A 24357-nucleotide genomic window follows, 5' to 3' on the forward strand; every position below is an offset into this window, starting at 1 on the left:
ATGATTGGGGAGTGAGAGCAGGAGTGTGGGGGTGCAAAAAGGAAAGTCCATTCCAGGCAGTGTGAGCAACAGGTGAGATAATTACACACAGGAGAGAATGTGACATATTCTGGGAACAATCAAGATGGAACTGCTGATAGAAGGCCTAACTAAAGATTGGATTAGGGTAATGGGGAATCATTGCAGGACTTTAAGTAGGGAAGGGAAATGCCCTTATGTGCGTTTTAAAAAGATCAGTTTAGCCGGGCACGGTGGCTCACGCCTGTAATTCCAGCACTTTGGGAGGCTGAGGCGGGTGGATCACCTGAGATCAGGAGTTCGAGACCAGCCTGACCAACATGGTGAAACCCCTTCTCTACTAAAAATACAAAAATTAGCCAGGCGTAGTGGCTCGCGCCTGTAATCCCAGCTCTCTGGAGGCTGAGGCATGAGAATTGGTTGAACCCGGAAGGCGGAGGCTGCAGTGAGCTGAGATCGCTCCACTGCACTCCAGCCTGGCAGCACAGCAAGACTCCTTCTAAAAAAGGAGTCTTTTTTAGAAGGACTCCATATATATATATATACACATATATATATATCAGTTCAACAATGGTGGGGAAAAAAGTGGATTGGATAGATAGGGCCAGACTAGAATCGGAGAAGCCAGATGGGTGTTGAATTTAACCAACCGATGGTGGAAATTGAGACAGTAAAAATAGAGATGGTAATGTGGGAATTGATTCAACACCTATTAAGAAGGGATAGTCTTGATAATTGATAGAGATGCAGAGGAAGCAGCAGTAAGTGTCATGGATGTCGTCTAGAGTGTAGTTTTTGAAAGCTGAATGGATAGTGATGCCCAAAATAGGGAATCCAAGAGCAGCAGCAGACATGGGGAAGATGGCGTTCAGGGTTGCACATGTGTGGCGTTAACTTGGCAGCTGGATTTTGGGGTCTGACAGTTAGTAGAGCAGGCTAGGTTCCAGTTGGAGACTTTCTAATCATCGTCAGATAGATGGTGCCTGAGGCGAGGAAGTGGAAGGGCTCACCGAAGTAGGGCAGAAAAGCAGAGGGGCAAAGTCAAAGCAGCATCCTGTAAGGAGAAGGCAGAAAAGCGACGCTCATAGAGATGAAGAATGAACCTCCAGAGGCGTCGGAGCAGATTGGAAGAGACACATTCAGGCTCCATTTAACCAGAATAATTCCGTTATCAAAATGGAAGCGCCAAGAAGCATCGTTGATGGCGCTTTCCCACCATCCATCCGTCCAACACAAACCCACCTGCTTTGAAAAGACTGCCTCACGCAGTGACTCACTTACCCACCACAGCCGCATTCTCTACCTCTGCCTCTTGTCTAGTGAAGCTGGCTCCCGAGGCTTCGGGGCCGCTCCACAGGGACCTGAGGACGTCTCCCCGGAGACCCTGACTCAAGCTGCTCGCCGGCACAGCCGAGCACCGGCTCCCGCCTACTCACCGCGCGGGAGGGACGGTCCCTCCTTCAGGCCAATCTCCTTATCATTGTCCCTGCTGCTGTCACCTGCTGCTGCAGACCGGGGGTCCCGTCCAGTCTCAGCCCGTCCCGTCCTCCCCCCAGCCTATTCCCGGTCCCCTCAACCTCAGGGACACCGCGGCCAGCTGCACCGTTGGTTTTCCAATCAAATCCTCCTCCAGGCCACCAACCAGCGCTGGCCAGGCCAATGCCGACAATTCTTCCTCCGCCACCTGGGGCGCCTCAGCCAATCGGGAGCAGCCATGCTGCGCAGTGCAGAACGCCATAGCGACGGATGACGCCTGCCGGGGAATCGCCGTAGCAACCAGAGACGCGCTAGATCCACCACCAAGCTTGCAAGCAGAAGAGGCAGCAAGTGATGCTGAAGGCTGTGCTGCAGCCACTTCACCGGAACCTAGAGCTACCTGTGAACAGGTCTCCTACACGTTGAAGATTTTTCTGGATTTAGGGTGTCTAACCTTTGATGGGAAAGGGCAGCTTCATCTTGGAGTGTTTACTTTCAAGAATTGCTATGGGCTAAAAATCAATTCTCTTTAAAAGCAAAGATTTAATCTGATAAGGAATCAATGCAGCATGCTAAATACCTTTCATATGGCATGAAAACGTCTTCAGTTACTCAAGCCACAGGCAATGAGAATAAGGTGCCACAGCACCGTATTTTTCACAAAAAGAGTGACCTGGGATTCAAGAAACCTGTATAGTATAACTATCGCCAGTTCGTTTTGTGGCTTTGGGCAAGTCACTTCACCTTTTGTGAAAGTCTGGAGCTTCTTTAAAATTTCTGAACTGCATTAGATAACGCTTTAAAAATATACCTGACATTCTGTAACTTTAAATAAATGAAAAATGCCAATCTATTAAGTGCTTAATTTTGTGCCGGGCACGATTTCAAATTCTTTCCTTATTTCACTTAGTTATAAAATGGAGGCACAAGAAGTTTCCTAAGTAGTCCAGTATGGCAGAGCTAGTGATGGAGTCAGGGTAAAACCTACTTCGAGTCTGGTCTTAACCACGATGATGCTCCTTCGACGATTTCTTCGAGTACTGGGCCCTGTTCAACCTCATCTTGGTATCACTAAACGCTCGTGTGTGTGTCTGGTGGTTACATCTTCCCAAACTGGATTTTAAATGAATACAGTGAACCCTAACGTTTTTCTGGTGTGGATAGTAAGTAGGCCCATTGGATTAACAATACTTAAGCTTGGGTAATTGAAAGCATTTTTTAAAATGAAGACGGTCCTATTTTGGAAATGCAGAAAGGCGAGATGAAAGCCAAACTCTGGTGAGTATAGCAGAACTAATTAAACTTCAGAGATCTAAAACAATCAGGATTAATGTTACCAATAAAACAAAACAAGGTGACGGGGCAGGAAGACCGATGCTGAGTAGAAAAAGTATTCTGTACATACATTCTAAATGTTAAGCAGTCGGCCTGGCTTGGTGGCTCACACCTGTAATCCTAGCACTTTGGGAGGCCGAGGCAGGAGGACCACTTGAGGTTAGGAGTTCGAGACCAGCCTGGCCATCATGGCCAAACCCTGTTTCTACTAAAAACAGAAAAATCAGCCGGGCATGGTGGCACATGCTAGTCCCTACTACTCAGGAGGCTGAGGCACAAGAATTACTTGAACCCAGGAAGCAGAGGTGCAGTGAGCCAAGATCATGCCACTGCACTCCAGCCTGAGAGACACAGCAAGACTCTATCTCAAAAAATAAACATTAAGCAGTGAGACATGACTGCACTGAACTTCTCATCTTCACCAGAATACCAATTGTGCTTCCCATCTTTCCACTACTCAGTAAAATTAAAGTCTTAAACTAATGTTTTGGCCATCCCAGAATATTCCTGAACTTCCCTGAAAGCTGCAGCGATTAAGAGGCAAGAATGACACTGCCTCTAAAAGACACATACACTATCATCTCAAATGTTAAGGGTCCCTCTGTAAAATGACACAAAATAAAATCCCACAAGAGATCTTGCACCAAGCTTATAGCTTATATAGCAAGGCTCAAAACTATGAAAACATATTTTTCTAAGGCCTTTTTTTAAATGAAATGCATAACGTAAATTATACAGTTCAAAAGTAAAACAGCATAATGTCCTAACTACAGCATAAAGGTAACAAATCTGCATGTAAGTAGATATTCAGGATCACCTCAACAAGAAGATAAAACCACTTCCCAAAATTTATAAATACTTTAGCCCAATGGTCTAGAACAAGAAAAGGCTATTCACACACACACACACACACACACACACACACAATCTAAGTGGAGGAATGAGAATGATCTTGTAGACTGAAAGCAGAAGGCTGAGTACAATTTGAAGTAAAGGCAGAACTTAAATTGGGCTTTGAAAGAAAAGCAGAAAGGTTTTCTAAACAGCAGAAATGTTTTCATTAAAAGCACAGAGGTAGGAACGTATGGGTCAACCATGAAAAGAAGTGATACTCAAGAGATCAGATATGCCTTTATTGGCCAGATCAAAGAGAGCTAACTCTTTTCCTCTCTCCTCTTGCAGAATCTCAAAGGTCTGTAGCTAGGAATTATAAATTGACAAAAAAAATTTTCCCCTAAAATAAATGTAAACTACATTTTCAAATGAAATTTCCAAAAACATAAGTGTCTATCCCCATCTTATTCCAAAGGCTATCAAATTCATGGTGAGGTTATCAGATGTTTTTCAGTGCAGAAAACACAAAAGGAAAGTGTTCCACACATGCCAAATGAAAAACAAACCAAGACCTGTAATTTGCTATTAAGGAAAATAATTCCTAATAAACTAAGTCACTAAAAACAAAGAAAGAGGCCGGACGTGGTGGCTCACACCTGTAATCCCAGCACTTTGGTAGGCTGAGGCGAGCAGATCACGAGGTCAGGGGATCGAGACCATCCTGGCTAACACGGTGAAACCCCGTCTCTACTAAAAAAATACAAAAAATTAGCTGGGCGTTGTGGTGGGCGCCTGTAGTCCCAGCTACTCGGGAGGCTGAGGCAGGAGAATGGCGTGAACCCAGGAGGCGGCTTGCAGTGAGCAGAGATCGGGCCACTGCTCTCCAACCTGGGCGACAGAGCAAGACTCTGTCTCAAAAACAAACAAAAAGCAAACAAACAAACAAACAAAAACAAAGAAAGAAAAGCCCTGGAGAGTTCGGTATTATCATGCAGATCATTACACATCACGCAGCAACATTTCTAAAATCGGGGGGAATAAATGGATCAGCCTTTTCTTAGCTTTAATATCAATTATTTCTTAACTATCAAACACCTTTGTGAAACAAACACTATTTTATTTTTTTCTCAGTGTTTCCTCTTTTCTCTCTCCTACTGAAGCCTAGGAATATTAGGAGGCCGGAAACAGACATCACTCATTTTCCTTCCTCTCCTATCCCATCTCAAGCTGAGAGAGAGATGTGGCTCTTCTAATAATCAGAGTACAAAGTAAAGACAATAGCCAACAACTAATTAAGTAGACTTTTATTGCTCAATCAACTTCAGTAACATCTCCAAAAAAATAGTTTTCATCTAACAATTATGAAACAAATTTGAAAGGCAGGATGATTCACAATATAGACCCAGTAGAGGCTTATACTTCATATAAATGAAAAATATCAGTTCTACAATTTAAATGTTTACTTTGGATTTTATTATAGAAGAAAATATCATTGTAATTATAAAAGCCATAAAAATTGGAACTGTATTGTGAAATTACATCAAGGTATCAGATTTTATATAAATGAACAATAAAATTCAATTTTTATTTATTTAAACGTAGTTAAACATTGGAAGACAATCTCCCCCATGGGGAAGAAAAAAAAAAAAAACCTTGAATAATAAAGCAACAAAAGCCACAACACAAAAACTAATCAGTGTGCAAAAATCTGATTAAAAAAACAAAACAAAACTGGGGTTTAACAATTAAGTCAAATGTTCAATATGTGCTAATTAAATTTCATTTTAAAAATGATCTTTGGATGATTACATTTCCAACTATGTTTTCCTATAATTGACATTTAATGTTAGTTTTTGAAAAGTTAGAAAAGAAACCAATTTATATGAAGATTGCCAAATTTTGCAATTTGAACACTATTTTAAACTTTGAATGTCCTTAAAGTCTTTAAACTTACTTTCTAAAATAAATAATTGTTGGAATAAACCAAAAGACATTTCACATATTTGCACTGCATACGATAAAAATGATGTGATCTACATAAATAAATTTAAAACATTAAGTTATTTCATATAAACATTTTTAATTACAGCGTTATATCAATGGCTTACACAGTTGAAATCTGAGCACTTTAAAACAGGATTCACATGTTAAACTGCTGAGCACATTTATAGAACTGATGTACATCATATAATCCTTTAAACAGCAAGCTCTGGTGTTATACCTCAGTTTCAGAAAGCATTTTTCTTTCAACAGAATTTTGAACCTGCCTTTGTGAAAGAAAAAAATTAGAAAGCTATATTATACCCACACAGAAAATTTAAGTACGTGGAAGAAATAAACTTTTTTGGATGAAGAAAACAAGTTAATTTTGAGTGGTAAACAAATCTGGTTTACAAATACATGCATTAGCACATAAAATATTTCGTCCTAGACATCTTTACAGAAGACTTGGCAAATATGAACAATGGGATGCCACAGCTTTTTAAAACAACTTTTAACAGATATAAGATCAGTATCATTCACATTCACACAAACATACACACACTTTAGAAAGACTGTGTGCTTGGCTTCGGCATATTTAATATCATTAAAGAATATATAGAATCATCCTTTTATCATAAGGAATTTACATCATTGTTTTCTCAAAAGCTGCTATTTTAGATTGAAACAGCATTCAGAAAAAAAGTACATTTCAGATGGTCAGCATCAGGATTTACTACAGACTTTGTAAACAGATATCTATAAATAAATAAACTAGGGTGGAGAAAAGAATATCCTGAGGTGGCTCTGTGGCCAGGGTATTCAGTAGCACTAAGCTCCATTCTGGAAATCAAGGCATCTAAAGAAAGTGCAGGGCTGAATTTATTTTGTAAATGGAATATGTACAGGTTTAATTATTTTGCACCTTGAGGTAAATCAGTACATAGCAACTACTACTGCTTACATACACTTATTTAAGGCAACTTTATTTAAAAATCAATATATGTAGTAAATTATATCTGTCACTGTCTCTCAATGAATGCTATCTTTGATTATTTTTCAAAAACAGTGGAAGAAATATAATCACTTAAAACAAGCAGTTAATTACCTAAACATGAGTTACCTTTGCTCTTAAATGGAGTAGTCAGATCATTTTGTCAGTCAAGTAGTCAAAAGAAAGCAGAAACCAGTAACATTTAGAAGCATTGTAAAAACATTTTGAGTGCAAAGTATTTTGCAAGTGACGGTTTTTCTGGCACTGGATAATTACTATACACAATTAAATAAAATCACAGAAACACTATGATCCCAGGTAGTTTTCAGTTTTAAAATTTCTTCCTGTAAAGTAAGTACAGTTGTTACCCCTGATGTCCAGACACAAGGAAATGATGTGAGGAAATCCTCTTGTTCAGGTACATCAGGGGAGTTTTAAAAATAGCAGCAAATACTGGGGTCTTTGGAAATAATTATGCTGCTACAAATAAAAAGGAATCATTACAATGGAAGCTCATAAACAATAATAAGCACCGTGGGTAATACTCTATCAATTGCCAATAGAGTCTAACTCTTTTTAGGCAGTACCAAATGATGACAGCTACATATTTTCTAAAGAAAAGCAGCTACATTTCCAACCTCTCATCCGAGGCAGAAGTTGAATCCATCATTTTAACAAGACTCTTACAATATGGTCTTAGAGGAGGACATTACATTAGTTAATAAATAGTTTATAATGAATTTAAAACACCAGACTTGCTAAAATTTCAGCTTTTGGCATTCCTCATGATCCTTTATTAGATTAATTATGTATACCTTTGTAATTTAATTATATGGTTAAAGGGAGCATTGGAATTTCATAAAATTTTCATCCTAATAGTGATGTCACCATTTTTGATATTTCTGTGGCTTCTCAATACTCATTTGATTTTTGTAAATTATTCTCTTGTCAAATCAGTTTCACAACCCCATTCATCCAGTCCTACAGGCTTAACAACATTTATTTCATGTGGAACTAAAAGTATATAAAAGATGACTAAAAAGATTTGTTAGACTTTAAAAAGCTCAGAAAAGCAAAAACTAATACACAAAATAAAAATGTCATTAATCTGAGCTACATATAAAATGTCTAATTTCCTTTTAAAATATAAATATGGCAGTGCTTTATATCAAAGATGTAAAATCTATCAATTGCTTTAAGATAATAAACATAAATGAAAGTAAGCACCAACTATTTACATTAACAATTTACTCTATTTGTTACTTTTCCAAATGTTTATATAATATTTAAGCATCATATCAAAATAAATATTTTAAAATAAAATCACAGGTAACAAGCTATTAAATGTAATCTACAAAAGTGAAAGAATAACATAAAGAGAAAATGAAAGGTAATTCTTAATAAAGTAATACTGATCATAGACCCTTCTGAGAGAATTCTAACTCCTGATTATTTACGCCTACTACTTATAAGAGAATAATAGTCAAGAACTTGAACCTGATGGAAACTAAAGCATTTTAAGACAAAGAGAGACAAGGCAGAGAACAGAGTGGGAATCATTGGCTTTAAAAGAGCATAAGGATTCAGAAAAAATATTCTACAAAGGCATCAAAATCAACTATTGCAAACTGGCATTGTATAACTTTTTAAATTCAGAAGTTATAAATGGTATGGGTGCTTAATTATCAAATCACCTGCAATTTTACTTGTCTGTCACAATGGATACCTAGATATGAAGGTTTTAAGATTTAAAAAAAATTTAAACATAAAAGTTAAAAACTATCATTATTAAAGTTTCTATTGTTCTACAGTCATCTCTATGGCTAAGAAAACGCCAGTTAGTGAAACACGATGGACATCTACAGAAATGAAACACAAATAGAGAAGCCCTGAAATGTTACCATTTTTCCCACAGCACTGGTATAGACTCCCTATTCTTCCCATAAAGCACTAACAAAAGTGAAATAATATGTGAAAATTTCAGGAAACACCTAAAAATTATAAACATATAAACAAAGTATCACTTAAGGTTTTTACGAATTGCCACTGATGAACAGAGATTTAAGAAAAGTAGACTGAAAGCATTTCTCCACATCCTTCTATTGCAAAACAGAAAATTTTTTTTTCTAACAGAATAAATATTTGAATAGTTAAGAACCATGTACCTCACTTCAAAGAGAGCATTTCATTAAATACATAGTCTCCACGGTGCTCATTACAAACTCCAGACACTACTTTTAAAAACCCGGTAGTCACACATAAACAGCATGACATACAATATTCTTATATATAGTGACATGATACGCACACATTACATATGTATATATCTATATGTATAATGCCTCTTGGTTCAATTCTATAATGAAGTTTCAGCATCCACGTATTTCTTTCTTGGTTCATCTTCAAAACTTATTTTCACACTCACAGGTTTATCAGGACTATTTAAAACAAAGAATTAAAATAAATAATTTTAAAATATAAATATTCAATTCTAAACATGGCTAACAATGAGTATACTAAACCTTCTGAGATTACTATTAACACTACAAACTTATGACTTGCTAATTTTAGCTTTTCTAAATCAATAAACATAACTGGAAAAGCAAATATTAAAAATTGTTTTTTAAAAATTGCAAATATTAAAAATCCTCTTTGCAATTTAAATTCATGTTTTTCTTACAACTAAAGAGGGGGTCCTTAAAATAGGGCAGTATATGGTCAGAATCTGTTGGATTACTTTTATTTCACATATGAACAGTTATAGCATGAGACTTTTACTGAAAAATCTATTAATATATGAATCTTTGTTAATATAGATAGGTATCAAATAATTTCCAAGAAGGTTATAAATTTATAAAACTTCTCACCCCAAATTTGATTCATAAATACAAAACCAATACATCTATTCTATATATTCTATATACATATTGGTTTTGTATTTATGAATATGTATTCTACATATATATAGAACAAATATTTGAAATATATATATGTTTTTTTGAGAGACAGAGTTTTGCTCTTGTTGCCCAGGCTGGAGTGCAATGGCACAATCTCGGCTCACTGCAACCTCCACCTCCCAGGTTCAAGTGATTCTCCTGCCCCAGCCTCCCGAGTAGCTGTGATTACAGGCATGCACCACCATGCCCAGCTAATTTTTGTAGTTTTAGTAGAGATGGGGTTTCACCATGTTGGTCAGGCTGGTCTCGAACTCCTGACCTCAAATCATCCACTCACCTTGGCCTCCCAAAGTGTTGGGATTACAGGCCTGAACCACTGCACCCGGCCAACCTATTCTATATTTTCAAGTTAGTATCACACAGTGACTCCACATACATGGATTTAATTGATTAATTGTAACATATGAATATCTGGGTTCTGGAAAAAGTTTTCAGAAAGTGTAAAAACACACTATGGTTTGCTGTCTTCTCCAGACAAACTGAAGAATAGACCCCAATCCCCAAACATTTTCCTGTTAAACAACATAGCCAAGATATTCTCTTTCTTCCTATGTGATTTTGAAGTGCAGGGCAACCCAAACAAAAGGCAGAAGCATAAAAGATGTTAGTTATTATTGTAAGGCCTTTATTTTTTATGATAATTATACTAACAAGGCCAGAGGTGCTGACACAGTGTGAACAATTACTAATAGTAAAAAGAATATTTAGAAAAATTCTGGCTGTACTGAATGATCCAAAATTACAAAGAGTTTAACTTTAAAACTTTTTAAGATCAAAGACAGAAGAAAGGAAACAGCCAGCTGAGAAATTAGAACTCAGATGACAGAAGAGAAAAACATATGATAGAGAGTAGGTAGGAAAAAGGTTCTAAAAGAGGGTAGTGAAAGAATGAGAAAAAGCTAATCAATTATTGTCAGAAGACAGAGCTAAGACAGCAAGTGAACAAAAACAGCTATATGACTGAAGGCCTAGAAAAGTTTTCATCTGATGCCCAAGCAGAATATACAGACACCCAACATAGCATCTCACACAAACTGTACATAAAAAAGAAGAATTTTCTGAGTATGAATGACTGAGCACCCTAGAAGACAGTAATTCATTTCTCCAGAGGCTTAAGGGATTAAAGTACTAATGATTACCAAACAGAATCCCTGAGGGCTTAGTTCTTGAAGTGAGAACAAAAGAAAGAAAAAAGGTTACATAACAAGAAATGTAAGAAAGAGGTTACAAAATACTTTCAATACATGGTCCACTGTAAAACTGAATGGTCTTTATGTCAATGGATTTGATTTCTTCCAAATATCTCCAAGCAAAATGTTTACCTCACCTGAACAAATGGCATACTAAACCAAAACACAAGAAGGGAAACAACTTGTGTTTTTCTCTTTTCTTAGACCATCACAGAGCATGATTGAAATAGTATTCAATTACAGTATTTAATCCCTAATAGTTATCTAATCTTTATATGGTTTCTGATCTTTTTTATGTTTATTCCATACTGCTATATGAAATTTACTTTTATGATAAAATAGCTCAGATTATTATTACTATTTTTTGAGACAGAGTTTCACTCTTGTCCCCCAGGCTGGAGTGCAATGGCATGATCTGGGCTCACTGCAAGTGACCTCAGATGATCCTGACCTCAGATGATCTGCCCGCTTCAGCCTCCCAAAGTGCTGGGATTACAGGTGTGAGCCACCATGACTGACTCAAATTATTTTTTAAAATAGGTAACTGTAAATTAAAAGACAAAAACATAATTATTATTTATACCTTATTCCAAGTATACATTAAAATGATGGATGAAAGAAAGAAAGGAATGAAGCTATCATAAGTAAATGAAAATTGGCTACAGTTAGAAAACACACAAATAGTTATAACTACCTCATGTTAGATCTGGTTACTTTGGCATTCTCAGTATTCATGGAAAGTGCCTTCCACTGTGCAGTTTTGGCCATTTCATCTGATATGTTAACAATTGAGGGATCAACACTGAAGAACAAATACACTTTTTGGTTAGTATTCAGTACTTGCAAAAGCATTAATATTGTCATTCTTATTATCTGCTTTCATCAACTAAATTGAGAAAACCTTTGCCAGATATCAGAATTTGAATTCTGTTACAAAGTCCTTATGAAGAATTACGTCTTTCTTTCTAATCGAAACTAGGAGTAAGATTAAGATTAAGTAAGTTAGCAAGATTTATTTATGGAACTTTGCTTCAGAATCCAATTTGGGGTTTCAGTAGTACTTCGGCAGCACTCTAGCAATGATGCCCTCTGATCACCTTGGCTGAAAATATGTTACTGAAATAACATACGACTATGTTAATGTGCTTATACATACAAAAAAAAATACAATCTCAAGTCGACTAGAAAACGGTTATAATTGGCACACATTTAATCTTATCAAATAAATACTCAAAGTATGTAAGGAAAACTTAAGATTATGATTTTTAAAATCTTATTTTTCATAGCTTTTACAAATCATTATAAAGAATGCTTGGAAAGATAACACTCTGAAATTGAAAACAAAGCTCTGAAAATATTTCAACAGCTAACACAAAATAGCCTCATGAGTACCACTTTTACCTGTTATTCACATATTTAGTGTGATAAAGGTGGTATTTTATCAAGTTTATCAAAATTAAAAGAACAGAGTAGGCCGGGCATGGTGGCTCACGCCTATAATCCCAGCACTTTGGGAGGCCAAGGCGGGCGGATCACGAGGTCAGGAGTTCGAGACCAGCCTGGCCAACCTAGTGAAACCCCGTCTTTGCTAAAAATATAAAAATTAGCCGGGTACGGTGGCACTCGGCTGTAATCCCAGCTACTTGGGAGGCTGAGGCAGGAGAATCTCTTGAACCCGGGGGGCAGAGGTTGTAGTGAGTCGAGATTGCACCACTGCACTCCAGCCTAGGCGACAGAGCAAGACTCCATCTCCAGAATTTAAAAAAAAAAAAAAAAAAAGAGTACTATCCATTTATTACAATAAGAGAAAAATGTTTCTGTTTCTATATTTCTATGAAAATTACTTCAAGACCTCAAATCCAATAATATCCATAAATAATTAATTTGGGGCTCAAGATTGTCCATCATAAGTAATAGGAAAGTATCATAAAGTTAATACAAATACATTTGCAAGTCCTTTTTCTTGGATTAAAAAAATACATTCAGACAAACAAGATACAAATACAAATGTCAAATTAGGTAATGTTAAATTAACAGTGTGATGGCAACTAGTTTACAAATGACTAAACAGCAGTCATTTAGAAAGTGCTCTGTTCATACTTAAAATCAGAATGTTGTTTACAAATTTAAGATTGAAGAGAAGCGTGAGGAGGTCACTGAAAAGTCTCTATGAATGGCTTCTTTACCTTCACCAGGTCAGATTTTTAAAAGTACACAAAATCTGAATACCCAAGTTTATAATGGCATAGCCATCCAACTTGAAACTTTGCCTACCCCGAGTAAACATTTATTCACTTGGTTGCCAACTTCAAATAAGTGAAGAAAGGAATTCCTGATAAACCTTCTAGCTTCTAAATATCCTCCACTATGAAGAAGGTATATATTTTTTTCCCTCAAAATGAAATTAGATAGGAAAAAATTTGCCTGCATTACATAAATTATTTTCATCTTTTATAAGGGCTTTACAGTTTCCAAATACTTTCATATACTATCTCACTTGATCTTCCACACAAATAATCCAAAGCTATTTAAGATATAAAATTCTGGCAAATAAGCACATTAGCCATTTCCTGGCATTCCTGATGGAAAAAACTTTAAACACAGCCACATTAATCATGGCTTATGACACCACTTAAAAGACAAAAGGAAAACTACAGATATCCATCTTTTTCTTTATCAGACTATAGACTCCACTTAAATTTGTCAAGGTCCATATATAATTACACTGAAAAAGTGATAAAGCAGGATATAAAAATTAAGCACAAATACTCTCGGCAAATTGGTGATAATTACTAACAACCATCATGGTAGTTCCTATACTCTTTTTAGAAGTACATCAATGAAGCTAATATATTAAATCTTTTAACAAGTATTTCTAGAACCCAGCAAAGCAGATCGCTGTGGCTGGATATATTAAATATCCATATTAAATGCCTCTATGCTTGGCATTTAAAGTATATAAAAATTTGAGGGAAACATTAATACAGAATAATACCAATAGTGAAAATTAATAGCAAAACGTATAGAGCAAAATTAGTTGAATTCATTCATCACAACTAATCAACATGTACAAGTCAAATGTTACTCCTGTAAAAGCTATAAATAGCTAAAAAAAAAGAGAAAGAAATGGAAGTTAACTAAATACCAATAAAACATTTTCTATCAACTGGTCAGGAAAGAAACCTGTATATTTTCTAAGACTGATTTCGCTAACTAATCAGAAATGGAATAGATGTGTAGAAATAGGAGGGCCAGGCACAGTGGCTCATGCCTGTAATCCCAGCACTTTGGGAGGCCAAGGCAGGCGGATCACCTGAGGGCAGGAGTTTGAGATGACCATTGTGGCCAACATGGTGAAACCCCATCTCTACTGAAAGTACAGAAAGTAGCTGGGCGTGGTGGCAGGCGCCTGTAATCCCAACTACTCGGGAGAACCCAGGAGGTGGAAGTTGCAGTAAGCCGAGATCACACCATTCCACTCCAGCCTGGGGAACAAGAATGAGACTTCATCTCAAAAAAAAAGAAAAAAAATACAAATCAGGTGTGTACACAAATGTAAGTTGTTATTATTATCATTATTTTTGAGACTGAGTCTTGCTCTGTTGCCTAGGCTGGAGTGCACTGGTATGATCTTGGCTCACTGCAATCTCTGCCTCCTGGGTTCAACCAACTGTCCTGCCTCACTGTCCTGAGTAGCTGGGATTACAGGCACCACCACACCCAGCTAATTTTTGTATTTTTAGTAGAGACAGGTTTCCCCATGTTGGCCAGGCTGGTCGTGAACTCCTGACCTCAGGTGATCCACCTGCCTCAGCCTCCCAAAGTGCTGGGATTACAGGTGTGAGCCACCACACCAGGCCTCTAAGACTGATTTCTCTAGCTAATCAGAAATGGAATAGATGTGTAGAAATAGAAATCAGGTGTGTACACAAATATAGGTTAATCTTTTAAAACTACAAAAGTCTGCATTTCCCAACCTCTATATCTTTAGTTCTTAAATTTAAATATAAATCATCAAAATCACGAATAATGAATTATACATAAAATATTAATTCTTGCATCATATGAACCCTCACCGCCAATAATCAAATCACATCTTTGAAAACTAAGAGACTTCTAGGGCCTCTAAACATAGTTACATATTGGAAGGCTATCAGAAAATGAATTACTGGTATTTGAATGGACACTGACAAAGATTACTGAAAACGTTTATTTTCCAGCACCCACCGACCCCAGCCCTAATGAAGGGCACAAAGGAAAAAGCCACACTACTGGGAAAATGGAAATATTCTCAGACTCATGTACTGATTTTAAACTTCACTAAGATAGATGGAGTGATAGAAGACAAGCAAATTTTATTGGCTTGGCATGGAAGTTAGTTTAAGTCCAGCTTGGGTTAGTCCAAGTCCAGCTTGGGTGGGAAAGGAGCAAGGGACTTCCTTTTCAAATTGTGTGAAGCCCTCCTTTAGTTGATACACCATATGCAGATTGTATCATCTTTTATAAAATAGAAATCATCACTTTAAAGAAGCATTATATGACTTATTAATACATTTGACATGCATATAAAAGTTTTAGAGCATAAAGTCATATCTCACCTATATTTTAGGGCCTTGACTGGAATTTGCAAGAGACTTCCCCCTTCAAATGGAAGGTGCACAGTATCATCATCATCTTGAAGCATCCGTTCAGCTTCCTTTATAACACATGTGTGAAGAGGTTACTTTTCCCAGAATATTTTCCAAGAGAATTGACTAATTTATAACATTTTACAGACTTAGAAACCCAAACTGACATTATTTAAATATAACTGCCATTACTGAAAAATTTTATAATCATGAACACATACTTGTAACATAAAATAAAAACAACCACTTGTAAAACATGACTAATTTAACTTTCATTTCTTTATGTAAATCACTGTCACTTATACTATTTAAGATTTAACTACAATTTAACTACATAAATGTGATTATCAATTATTATGTAGGTTTATAATGAGAGATAACATTCTGTGAAACCTTATCACAATACAATATGGGCAGAATGTCATTTGGATAAGGCAGGGTTTCTCAACCCCAGCAATACTGACATTTAGGGTATAATATTTATCTTTTGTAGTAGAAGTCCTGTGTATATAGAGTATTTCACAGCACCTCAGAATTCTACCTATCAGATGCCAGTAGCAGCCCCTCCAGTTATAACAATCAAAAATATCTCAGAAATTGAAATACTCTCGGCAATGTCTCAAATACTCTCAGACTAACAACTGAGAGTTGTTTAATTCCCTCCAGCCCACCCCAGTGATAATTACTAATAACCATCATGGTACTTCCTATACTCTTTTTAAAAGTACATCAATGAAAGTACTATCTTAGATCATTTAGCAAATGTTTATAGAACCCAGCAAAGCAGACCACTCAGGCTGGTTAAGATTAAGGCTCAAGCTCAGGTTGAGACCAACTTGGACAGTGGACACGGAAGAAAATTATGATGTTAATAATGGCGGTGATCGATAGGACAGTAGAGGAGACACTGAGAGAACATTCATATTTCTTTTCCTTATTAATAGAAATTTGACTATTTTGAGGTGTCAATTTGCCTAGATCCTAAAAACAAACAAACAAAAACAAAAACAAAAACCCCTAAACTGAATCTCCCAGCATTCCTTACAAACTCAGTAGGATCATGAGGTGCAAGTAGAACTTACTGGATGACATTCTGGAAAGACTCCTTAAACTTGACAATATGGTGAAGCTATTTTGCCTTCTATCCCTTCCTTTTTCCTGCTGTCTCTAATGCTAACATGACAGCTGGAGTCTGACAGCCATTTTGATTCATGAAGTGAAGATGAGGATGGCAACCATATGCTGAGGTCAGGAGAAAAGTAACAAGGAGCCCCTGATAACTTTGTGGGGCTTAACACTGCATCACTTGCTTTCAAGAATTCTTTTACTTGAAACACAAGAATAACCTTGTGTTTAAAGGCCACTTTTACTTTTGTTTTTTGTTATATATGACGAACCTCATTCTAATTAATACAGAAAGTAACAAACAGGCAATTTGGCCCATATATTTTATAGGTAAATTATATTCTATTTGAAAAAATCATGAAAAACTCATACAGGCCAGGCACAGTGGCTCACGTCTATAATCCCAGCACTGTGGGGGACCAAGGCAGGCAGATCACCAGAGGTCAGGAGTTGAAGACCAGCCTGGCCAACATGGTGGAACCCTGTCTCTACTAAAAGTACAAAAATAAGCCCAGTTTGGTGGCGGGTGCCTGTAATCCCAGCTAGCTTGGACCCGGGAGGTTGAGGTGGTTGCAGTGAGCCGAGATCATGCCACTGCACTCCAGCCTGGGCCACAGAGCAAGACTCCATCTCAGAAGAAAAAAACAAAAAACCCTCATACGTATTTACATATATAACTCTGAAGAAAACCAAAATCTTAATTTTAAAAATCTGGTGTCTTAATTCAAATTAATATTCTAATTAGTATCTAGTTAAAGAATTTTAATTTTTGTTGAAAAATAAACATAAAATCAATAAAATTTTAATCTCTATTTAAACAGGACCATACATTTAAAAATATGTGTCTTTCTTATCTTTGATTTTCAAACAATACTCTGAATGGGAAAATGGAGCAAGGAACTACAATCAACAAAACCATCAATGCTATATACTCAAGTCTCTACTTTTCCTTCTTATTAACCGATACTATCGAGTTGGTTATTAAAAATCAAATTCCAATTCAGAATAAAGTTATTTATGCTTAAATCTCAGCATACAAATCAACTAATGGTGGTACACAGTAAGTGCATATAAAGACTAAAACTTTATTATACTTTTTAAAAAAGATAATTACTTAAAAATCCTTTTTGTCATTATGTATGCCAATTATTAAAACGCTATTAAAATTAAATATATGCTAAAATTTATGTTAAATGTATTTAAAGTTTTCTCAGATAATATACTCTGAGGTATAACTATTTTGTGTTACCTATATTTTAATATTGCTAAAACTCTAATTCTTCTAATTGCTGATTTAGTAAGCACATGATATGTAATTTTTGAAAAGTATTACTGTGTCAGAGCTATGGAGGTACAACACAGTGAAATGGTGAAGAGACTACATTTGGAACAGTTACCTAACCACTCTCTGCCTGCTTCCTCATTTATAAAATGGAGATAACAGCAGTACCTACTACACTTTTATAAAGTTCTTAGAAGGATGAAAGGAACTGATTCATGTAAAGTGATTATAATGGTGCCTGCAATATGGTGCAAAATATTAAATAAGGAAGTGGTGTAAGTTTAAAATTGTTATCTTTTTACCTCTTTCTCTTTTTTCTTTTTGTCATCTTCTTTCTTTTTCTTACTTTCTGGCATAAGATCATCAAGCCAACTAAGTTCTCTCTTCGTGAAACACAGGTCCATGAGTTTGCGCACAAACACTAATGCAAGAACCTTTAAAAAGTGGGGAAGGAAATATTAAGTAACACATAATACAAACTGTATCACTTAAAGAGGAAAAGCATATTTATTAAATCTTATAAAAAATGCTTCATATAGTTTAAAAATTATTCACACATCATTTTGTTTCAAAGGAATTGAGTCAATTATTTATCTTTTTTTACTTTGTGCTAAAAAAAAAAAAAAAACTATAAAGAGAGGAAAAAAGGAAATGGCATTCTTAACCTTCTCCTGAATAAATCCCTTGCACTACGCATAAAATTATGAAGCAGGTTAAACACTGAATATCAAAGCAAAAAACAATTAATTTTTAAGACATTACATATTATGTAAGTATATATAATTTTTAAAAATCTCTTCAGCAATACATTAGAGTACCTATTCCCAACATTAGGTTTTAACTTTTCAATCATATGGGAGAAATGAACTAATACTTTAATTTGCTTTAACTGCTGCTGAAGATGAGCATGTTTTTGAATGCTGACTGGCCAATAAGATTTCCACTTCTGTACCTGCTATTTCCTAAACTTGGACTGTTGGTTTTTATGACTTTTGTTTATGCATTTATGAGTTCTGTGTAGTTTGAATAGAAATTTTTTATCTGCCTTACATGTTACAAATATTTTCTCCCAGTTCACAGTCTGATTTAACTGTTTTTTATACTTTTTGAACATATAAGAAACATTTAATTATCACGTCAAATATAGCATATCTTCCTTTTACACTTGGGTTTTCCTATCTTCTTTGAAAAGTTAGTCCCAATCAATGGATTATACAATACTCTTTTACATTTTCCACTACAATTTATTTTACCATTTAAATACTGAATTCAATTTTGATTTCTGAACATGGTCTCAGATAAGGAGTACAACATTACTTAGCTTCCAGTATACATTTAAATCGTCCAATACTAAATTCTCCCATACAAAAGAAATACTACCTTTAATGAAATAACCTGCTTATGGTATTCAAGTGATAAAATTCCAATGTATTCAGATACATTTCTGGACCCATTTGTCTATTTTTCTGATTTGTCTATTCATATGCCAATTCTATATTATGGTGGCTACACTGACTTGTCAGCAATTTTTAAATATTTGGTTATTAAAACAGTACAGTATCAGCACACGAACAGTGAAGTAGATGGCAAAGCAAAGCCCTCTATGCTCAATCCTAGCCAGGAATCCTTCTTAGTTATAATTATCATTATCTTGTTATTCTCTAGTAGTTATGTCTTTCTTTCTAATGAATATGTAATTTACATACAGAAAAATTGAAAAATAGCATGTGTACAGTTTGATACTTTTGACAAATGTATATACTACTCATATAATGCACACCCAGACAAGATACAGAACATTTCTACCATCCATGTTTTTGAGTCAGGCATTTATTTTTTATTTATCCAGTTCCAAATTATTTATCCAGTTCACAATGACACCACCCCCCACCCCAACACATACATTCAGATAAAACTCCAGTAGAATCTGTACTTGGCACTATATTACATTTAAATGCGATTTTTCAGAAAACTGCAAGTTTTATAATATGAAATCTTTAAAACAAAGAACACAGTATTTGTTCAGGTCTTATTTGCTGTCCCTTAATACTGTTATTGATTGAATTTTGTTCCCCATTAAAGACAGTTAAGTCCTAACCTCCAGTACCTCAGAATATGAACTTATTTGGAAATAAGCTGTTGAAGAACACCATGTGACAACAAAGGCTCCAACTTCAGTTACCCAGCTGCAAGCCAAAGGAATGCCAAAGACAGCCAGCAAACCTCCAGAAGAGAGGAAGAGACAAGGCAGGATTCCCCGCTGGAGGCTTCAGAAAGAGCATGTCACTGCCCACCCCCACATACTGCCTCTGGTTTGTGGTACTTTGTTACAGCAGCCCTTGGAAGCTAATACAAATGCTATTATAAAGCCTTTTTCTTTAAAGGGGTCTTTCTTTTAAAATTTATTCTTAAGTACTTTATGGTTTTTGATCATTGAGAGAGACTGCCTACTAATTCATCAAGTTTTCTAACATCCAGCCACCCTAACACAATTCTTATTAATTCTATTAAGGGCTCAGTCTTTTTTGTTTTTAACTAAAATCACTTGGGTTAATAGGTATACAATGACATTTTCAACAAATATGTTAATAATTGCTTTGAAGCCAAAGTATCATTGTCTATCTACTTAAGATATATTACTCTTGGAAATTCTGCTAAATTTGTTTACTTGCTAATATTTTAGTTTAAGGTTTCTGCATTTATATTAGTAAGAAGGCAGCATAAATCTTTTGTGCAACTTAATTAGCCTTGGGTATTAATAACTTGTCAGTGTTTTTTGAGAAAAATTGCATAGGTTTCCATCTTTTCCTTTGGTCTAGAATAATTCAAGAGGGTACTGTAATTATCTGTTCTTTAAAATTAAGCTTTTAACCAATCTGACCCTGATACTTTAAGGACAGGTCTTTAACCACTTTTCCAGTTTCTTCTATGCAACTGGGCTATACACAAATTTTATACTTCCAGTGTCAATTTTGGAAATTTAGATATAGTATGAAAATAATCCATTTGTTCCAGGTCAGAGGTCAGCAAACCATAGCACCTGAGTTAAATTTCATCCACCATCTATTTTTGTATAGCCTATAACCTAAGAATGTTTTTTTACAGATAAACATTTGGAATTAATTTGATGGTAGAAAACAATAACCATGAATCCCAATTAAGTAAAATAATGTCAAATAAAAAATAATTCCATTCTTCTAATAGTCCTATATTTTTAAAATTATTTTTTAAATTTCATCAATAAGATTACATAAGTACCCACATAATACTCTCGTGACCTATAAAGCCTAAAATGTTTACTATCTGGCCCTTTACAGAAAAAGTTTATTGACCTCTGCTCTAGATATTCAAATTTATTGATATTCATGCAAGTGTTATTTTCATCAAGTCCCTTGAATCATCTCCATATCTCTGGTTATCGCTCTTTTCTCCTCCTTAATCTTGTATATCCATTCTCTCATTTTCTTCTTTACATGTGCTTGGGAGTGGTTTATCCATTATTGATTTTTTTAAAAAAAACAACTTAGTTGCATTGAAGTCTTCTTGAATAATAAAGGCAATGAAGTGCATACACCTTCCTCTCAGTGTAACTTTAGTTGTGCTCAAAGTTTTAGACAGACATTGTTATAATTTTCTCTCTTTCAATACCTCTAGATGGTTTTTTAACTGTTTTCTATTCAGAAATTATTTAGAACAGTGTTTAATTTCCAAATATTTAAGATTATTTTAGTGGCTTTCCATTATTTATTTCTAATTTAACTGTTTTTAGAAAATACTACTTGAGTAATTTTTATAGCTTTTTAAATTCTGTAAGGTTTTCTCTGTGGCCATGTACAAAACCAATTTTTACATAGCATTTACAGAAGAATGTACATTCTCTATTTGTAAAATGCAATATTCTGTGATAATTTAATGAATTATATTGTCTTATTAAAGTCATCGGTAGCCTTCATTACTTTTTAACTTCCACATCTGTCAATTTCTGAAAAAGATATATCAAAGTATTTTAATAATGAACCATGTTGTTTTGGTTCCTTTGCTTTTACATTTGAAAATGTATTTGTTCCATGAACGTCCTGAATTCTGAAGTTATTTAAAAATACAAAACCAAGTCCTATAGCCTAAGGACTAAAAAGCAAAACAAACAAAAATTTACAAAGTAATAAAATTGAAGCTGGGAAACAACTGCTTTGTATCTAGTAACAGCTAATTCACATTTTCAAACACCTAAGGTACTTAAAACGCATTATTCTTTTTCTCAAAATCAATTATAAATATTAATAAAAAATTACTGTAAACATATTATTAATTAGTGACAAAATAAGTCTGAAGAAATCTTACCATCATGGGAAAAACCACTGCAGCAGCTGAAACTTTTATCACCCATAAAAGGACCAAACAAGTAAGCTGAATGACTGTGAAAATATGGACCTTCCAGAGCGGCACATAACGGAGGTATATCAAATCAGGCTGATGCTTAGCAGGCATTCCAAATAATTTTATACGGTCAAATAACTACATATAGAATAAAAAACAAAGAAGTTTTCAATAAAATATTTCTGCTATTTAGGAGAAGAATCTATACTCAACTTTAGGATTTTGTGTATTAAATTGTAACTTCCTTGACATTTTCTGATAGTACAGGAGAATGTTACAGCAAGCATTCTCTGGATCCAAAGTGGGGTCGGGTGGGGGAGGGTGGCAGGTGGGAACCAAGCAACCACTTGCACTGCTGTAATTTATTTAATCAGAAAACTCAAGCCAAAATGTTTAATTCAGAGGATTAAAATATCTAGATAAACTTATCTGCTATAATTGAATGCACAAGTCATTTATCTCTTTGTTTTGTAATGTTCATGACAAAAGAATAGTCTGAGTGACTTCTAAGGTTCTTCACAAATTTAACCAGAAAATAACTTGAGATAACAATTACAATTCTTCACTAATTGAAAATAAAACTGAGCAAATGCCTTCATCTTTTTGAGCTTTAATTTCCTCATTAACACACTGTGAATAAGATCAGCCCTAATCATCTCACAAAACTCTTAAAAATCAGGTGAGATAAGGAAATAATTTCTTGACCAGTGAAGAGTAGGTCCTGGATGGTGTTGAAAAAATAAAGATGTTTTCCTGCCACTAGCCTATGAGTTGGAAACTTTAGACAACATCCTTTTCATGAGAAGAGGTGGTCATGTAGCGCTAACTGTGCTTTATGATCGTTTTTTTTGTGTGTGTTTGTTTGTTTGTTTTTTGAGACAGGGTCTCACTCTGTCACCCAGGCTGGAATGCAGTGGCATGACTACAGCTCACAGCAGCCTCAAACTCCTGGGCCCAAGCAATCCGTCTACCTCAGCCTCCTGAGTAGCCAGCACTACAAGTACACACACCACAGCCGGCTAATTTTTAAAGGTTTTGTAGAGGCAGGATCTCACTGTGTTGTCCAGGCTGGTCTCAAACTCCTGGCCTCAGGTGATACTCCTGCCTCAGGCTTTCAGAGTGTTGGGATAACAGACATGAGTAATGATAGCCAGCCTAAATGTTTTATACTAAAATTATATTAGTACAAATCTTAAGAAGTTTTATTAGGTTGTTTCCCAGTAACTATTAAAACAAAACAAAATAATGAAACCACTGGCTTAGCTAATAATCTTCAATAAGTCCTTCTATTTCTGTTTCCTGATTTATATTAGGATTTCTTCCTTTCCTCTCTCCCAACTGGTTAATGTTTTGAGGATCACAAAATGATGTATATGCTAGGCTTCATAAGCTGTATTGTGTTACACAAATGGCGGGTCTTGCTATTTTTATAGGAAACTAATATCTACCTTTTTAAGTACCAAAACTTTTTTTCAATACAATCCTTTTGATCCTCCCTCTCACTATTCTAGTCTTTATTGAGTTATAGGGCTTTTCATTGGCTTCAATTAAAAACAGGTAAGGACCATGTCAGCTCATGATCTCACTCTCTGGAGGAAAAAATGTACAGTAAGCAAACAATCACTTGGCAAATGTCTGAAGTCATCAGTTAGAAAACTAACCTCCCCTCAAAATGTCAGAGTTGAGAATAAATCACTACCATCATTAAAACAATCTTTGCATACTTAAAATTATCAAGTTTCTATAGAAAATCATTAAATACTTAAAACTTGCCTGGATTCCTTTTAATGAGGAAACTCCCATATAAAGGAAAACACCATACAGAACAGGCATTGGAATAAACTGTAAATAAAATGAACACAATTAGAACTCATGAGTAGTAAGTAAACAAAAACATAATCAGTGAGTAATTATAGGGCTAGAATTAAAAGATTTTTCAATCATGAGGATTAGACCGACCTAACATTTCCACACATAAGAAAATTGCTAATATACAATAACCTGCTTGAAAAATGACTCATCTTCTACATGCTGCTTCCTAAAAAGGGAGTATGTTCACTTAAGATCAGGAGTACTGCAGTCAGACTTAGTTTTAAGTCAAACTTAACTTTCTGTACCTCAGTTTCTATATCAGATTGCTGTAAAGATTCAATGACTTCAA

At 35.3% G+C, this 24357-nt stretch overlaps 2 protein-coding genes across 56 annotated transcripts in view, besides 1 other annotated feature; both read right to left on the reverse strand.

The window, feature by feature from the left end:
• NEK10 (NIMA related kinase 10) overlaps positions 1-1613 on the reverse strand; it is a 262900-nt gene extending 261287 nt beyond the window's left edge. For 28 of the 30 annotated variants that reach the window (XR_001740034.2, NM_001394969.1, XM_047447506.1 and 25 more), the window contains exon 1: positions 1455-1613. The gene's annotated coding sequence lies outside the window, so the exon portion shown is untranslated. The other 2 variants (XM_017005764.2, XM_017005765.2) reach the window with 2 other exon arrangements.
• Positions 871-1371: an enhancer, noted in NCBI's record as "H3K4me1 hESC enhancer chr3:27410132-27410632 (GRCh37/hg19 assembly coordinates)". NCBI's record gives its function as "activates a minimal SCP1, AML or CMV promoter by ChIP-STARR-seq in primed H9 embryonic stem cells {active_cell/tissue: H9 hESC(primed)}" and the evidence as "EXISTENCE:reporter gene assay evidence [ECO:0000049][PMID:30033119]".
• SLC4A7 (solute carrier family 4 member 7) overlaps positions 4953-24357 on the reverse strand; it is a 111662-nt gene continuing 92257 nt past the window's right edge. For 16 of the 26 annotated variants that reach the window (NR_135544.2, NR_135542.2, XM_017007527.3 and 13 more), the window contains 6 exons: positions 23970-24038; positions 22161-22334; positions 18122-18253; positions 15383-15480; positions 11479-11586; positions 4953-9075 (listed from right to left, as the gene is read on the reverse strand). Coding sequence is in view for 22 of the 26 variants with exons in the window: in XM_017007527.3 (XP_016863016.1) it covers positions 8994-9075; positions 11479-11586; positions 15383-15480; positions 18122-18253; positions 22161-22334; positions 23970-24038 (663 nt within the window). In the remaining 4 variants the exon portion in view is untranslated. The remainder of the gene's footprint in view (positions 9076-11478; positions 11587-15382; positions 15481-18121; positions 18254-22160; positions 22335-23969; positions 24039-24357) is intronic. The other 10 variants (NR_135541.2, NR_135543.2, NM_001321106.2 and 7 more) reach the window with 1 other exon arrangement.

This window comes from Homo sapiens, chromosome 3 (genome assembly GCF_000001405.40).
Source record: "Homo sapiens chromosome 3, GRCh38.p14 Primary Assembly".
In the NCBI taxonomy this organism is placed as follows: domain Eukaryota; kingdom Metazoa; phylum Chordata; class Mammalia; order Primates; family Hominidae; genus Homo; species Homo sapiens.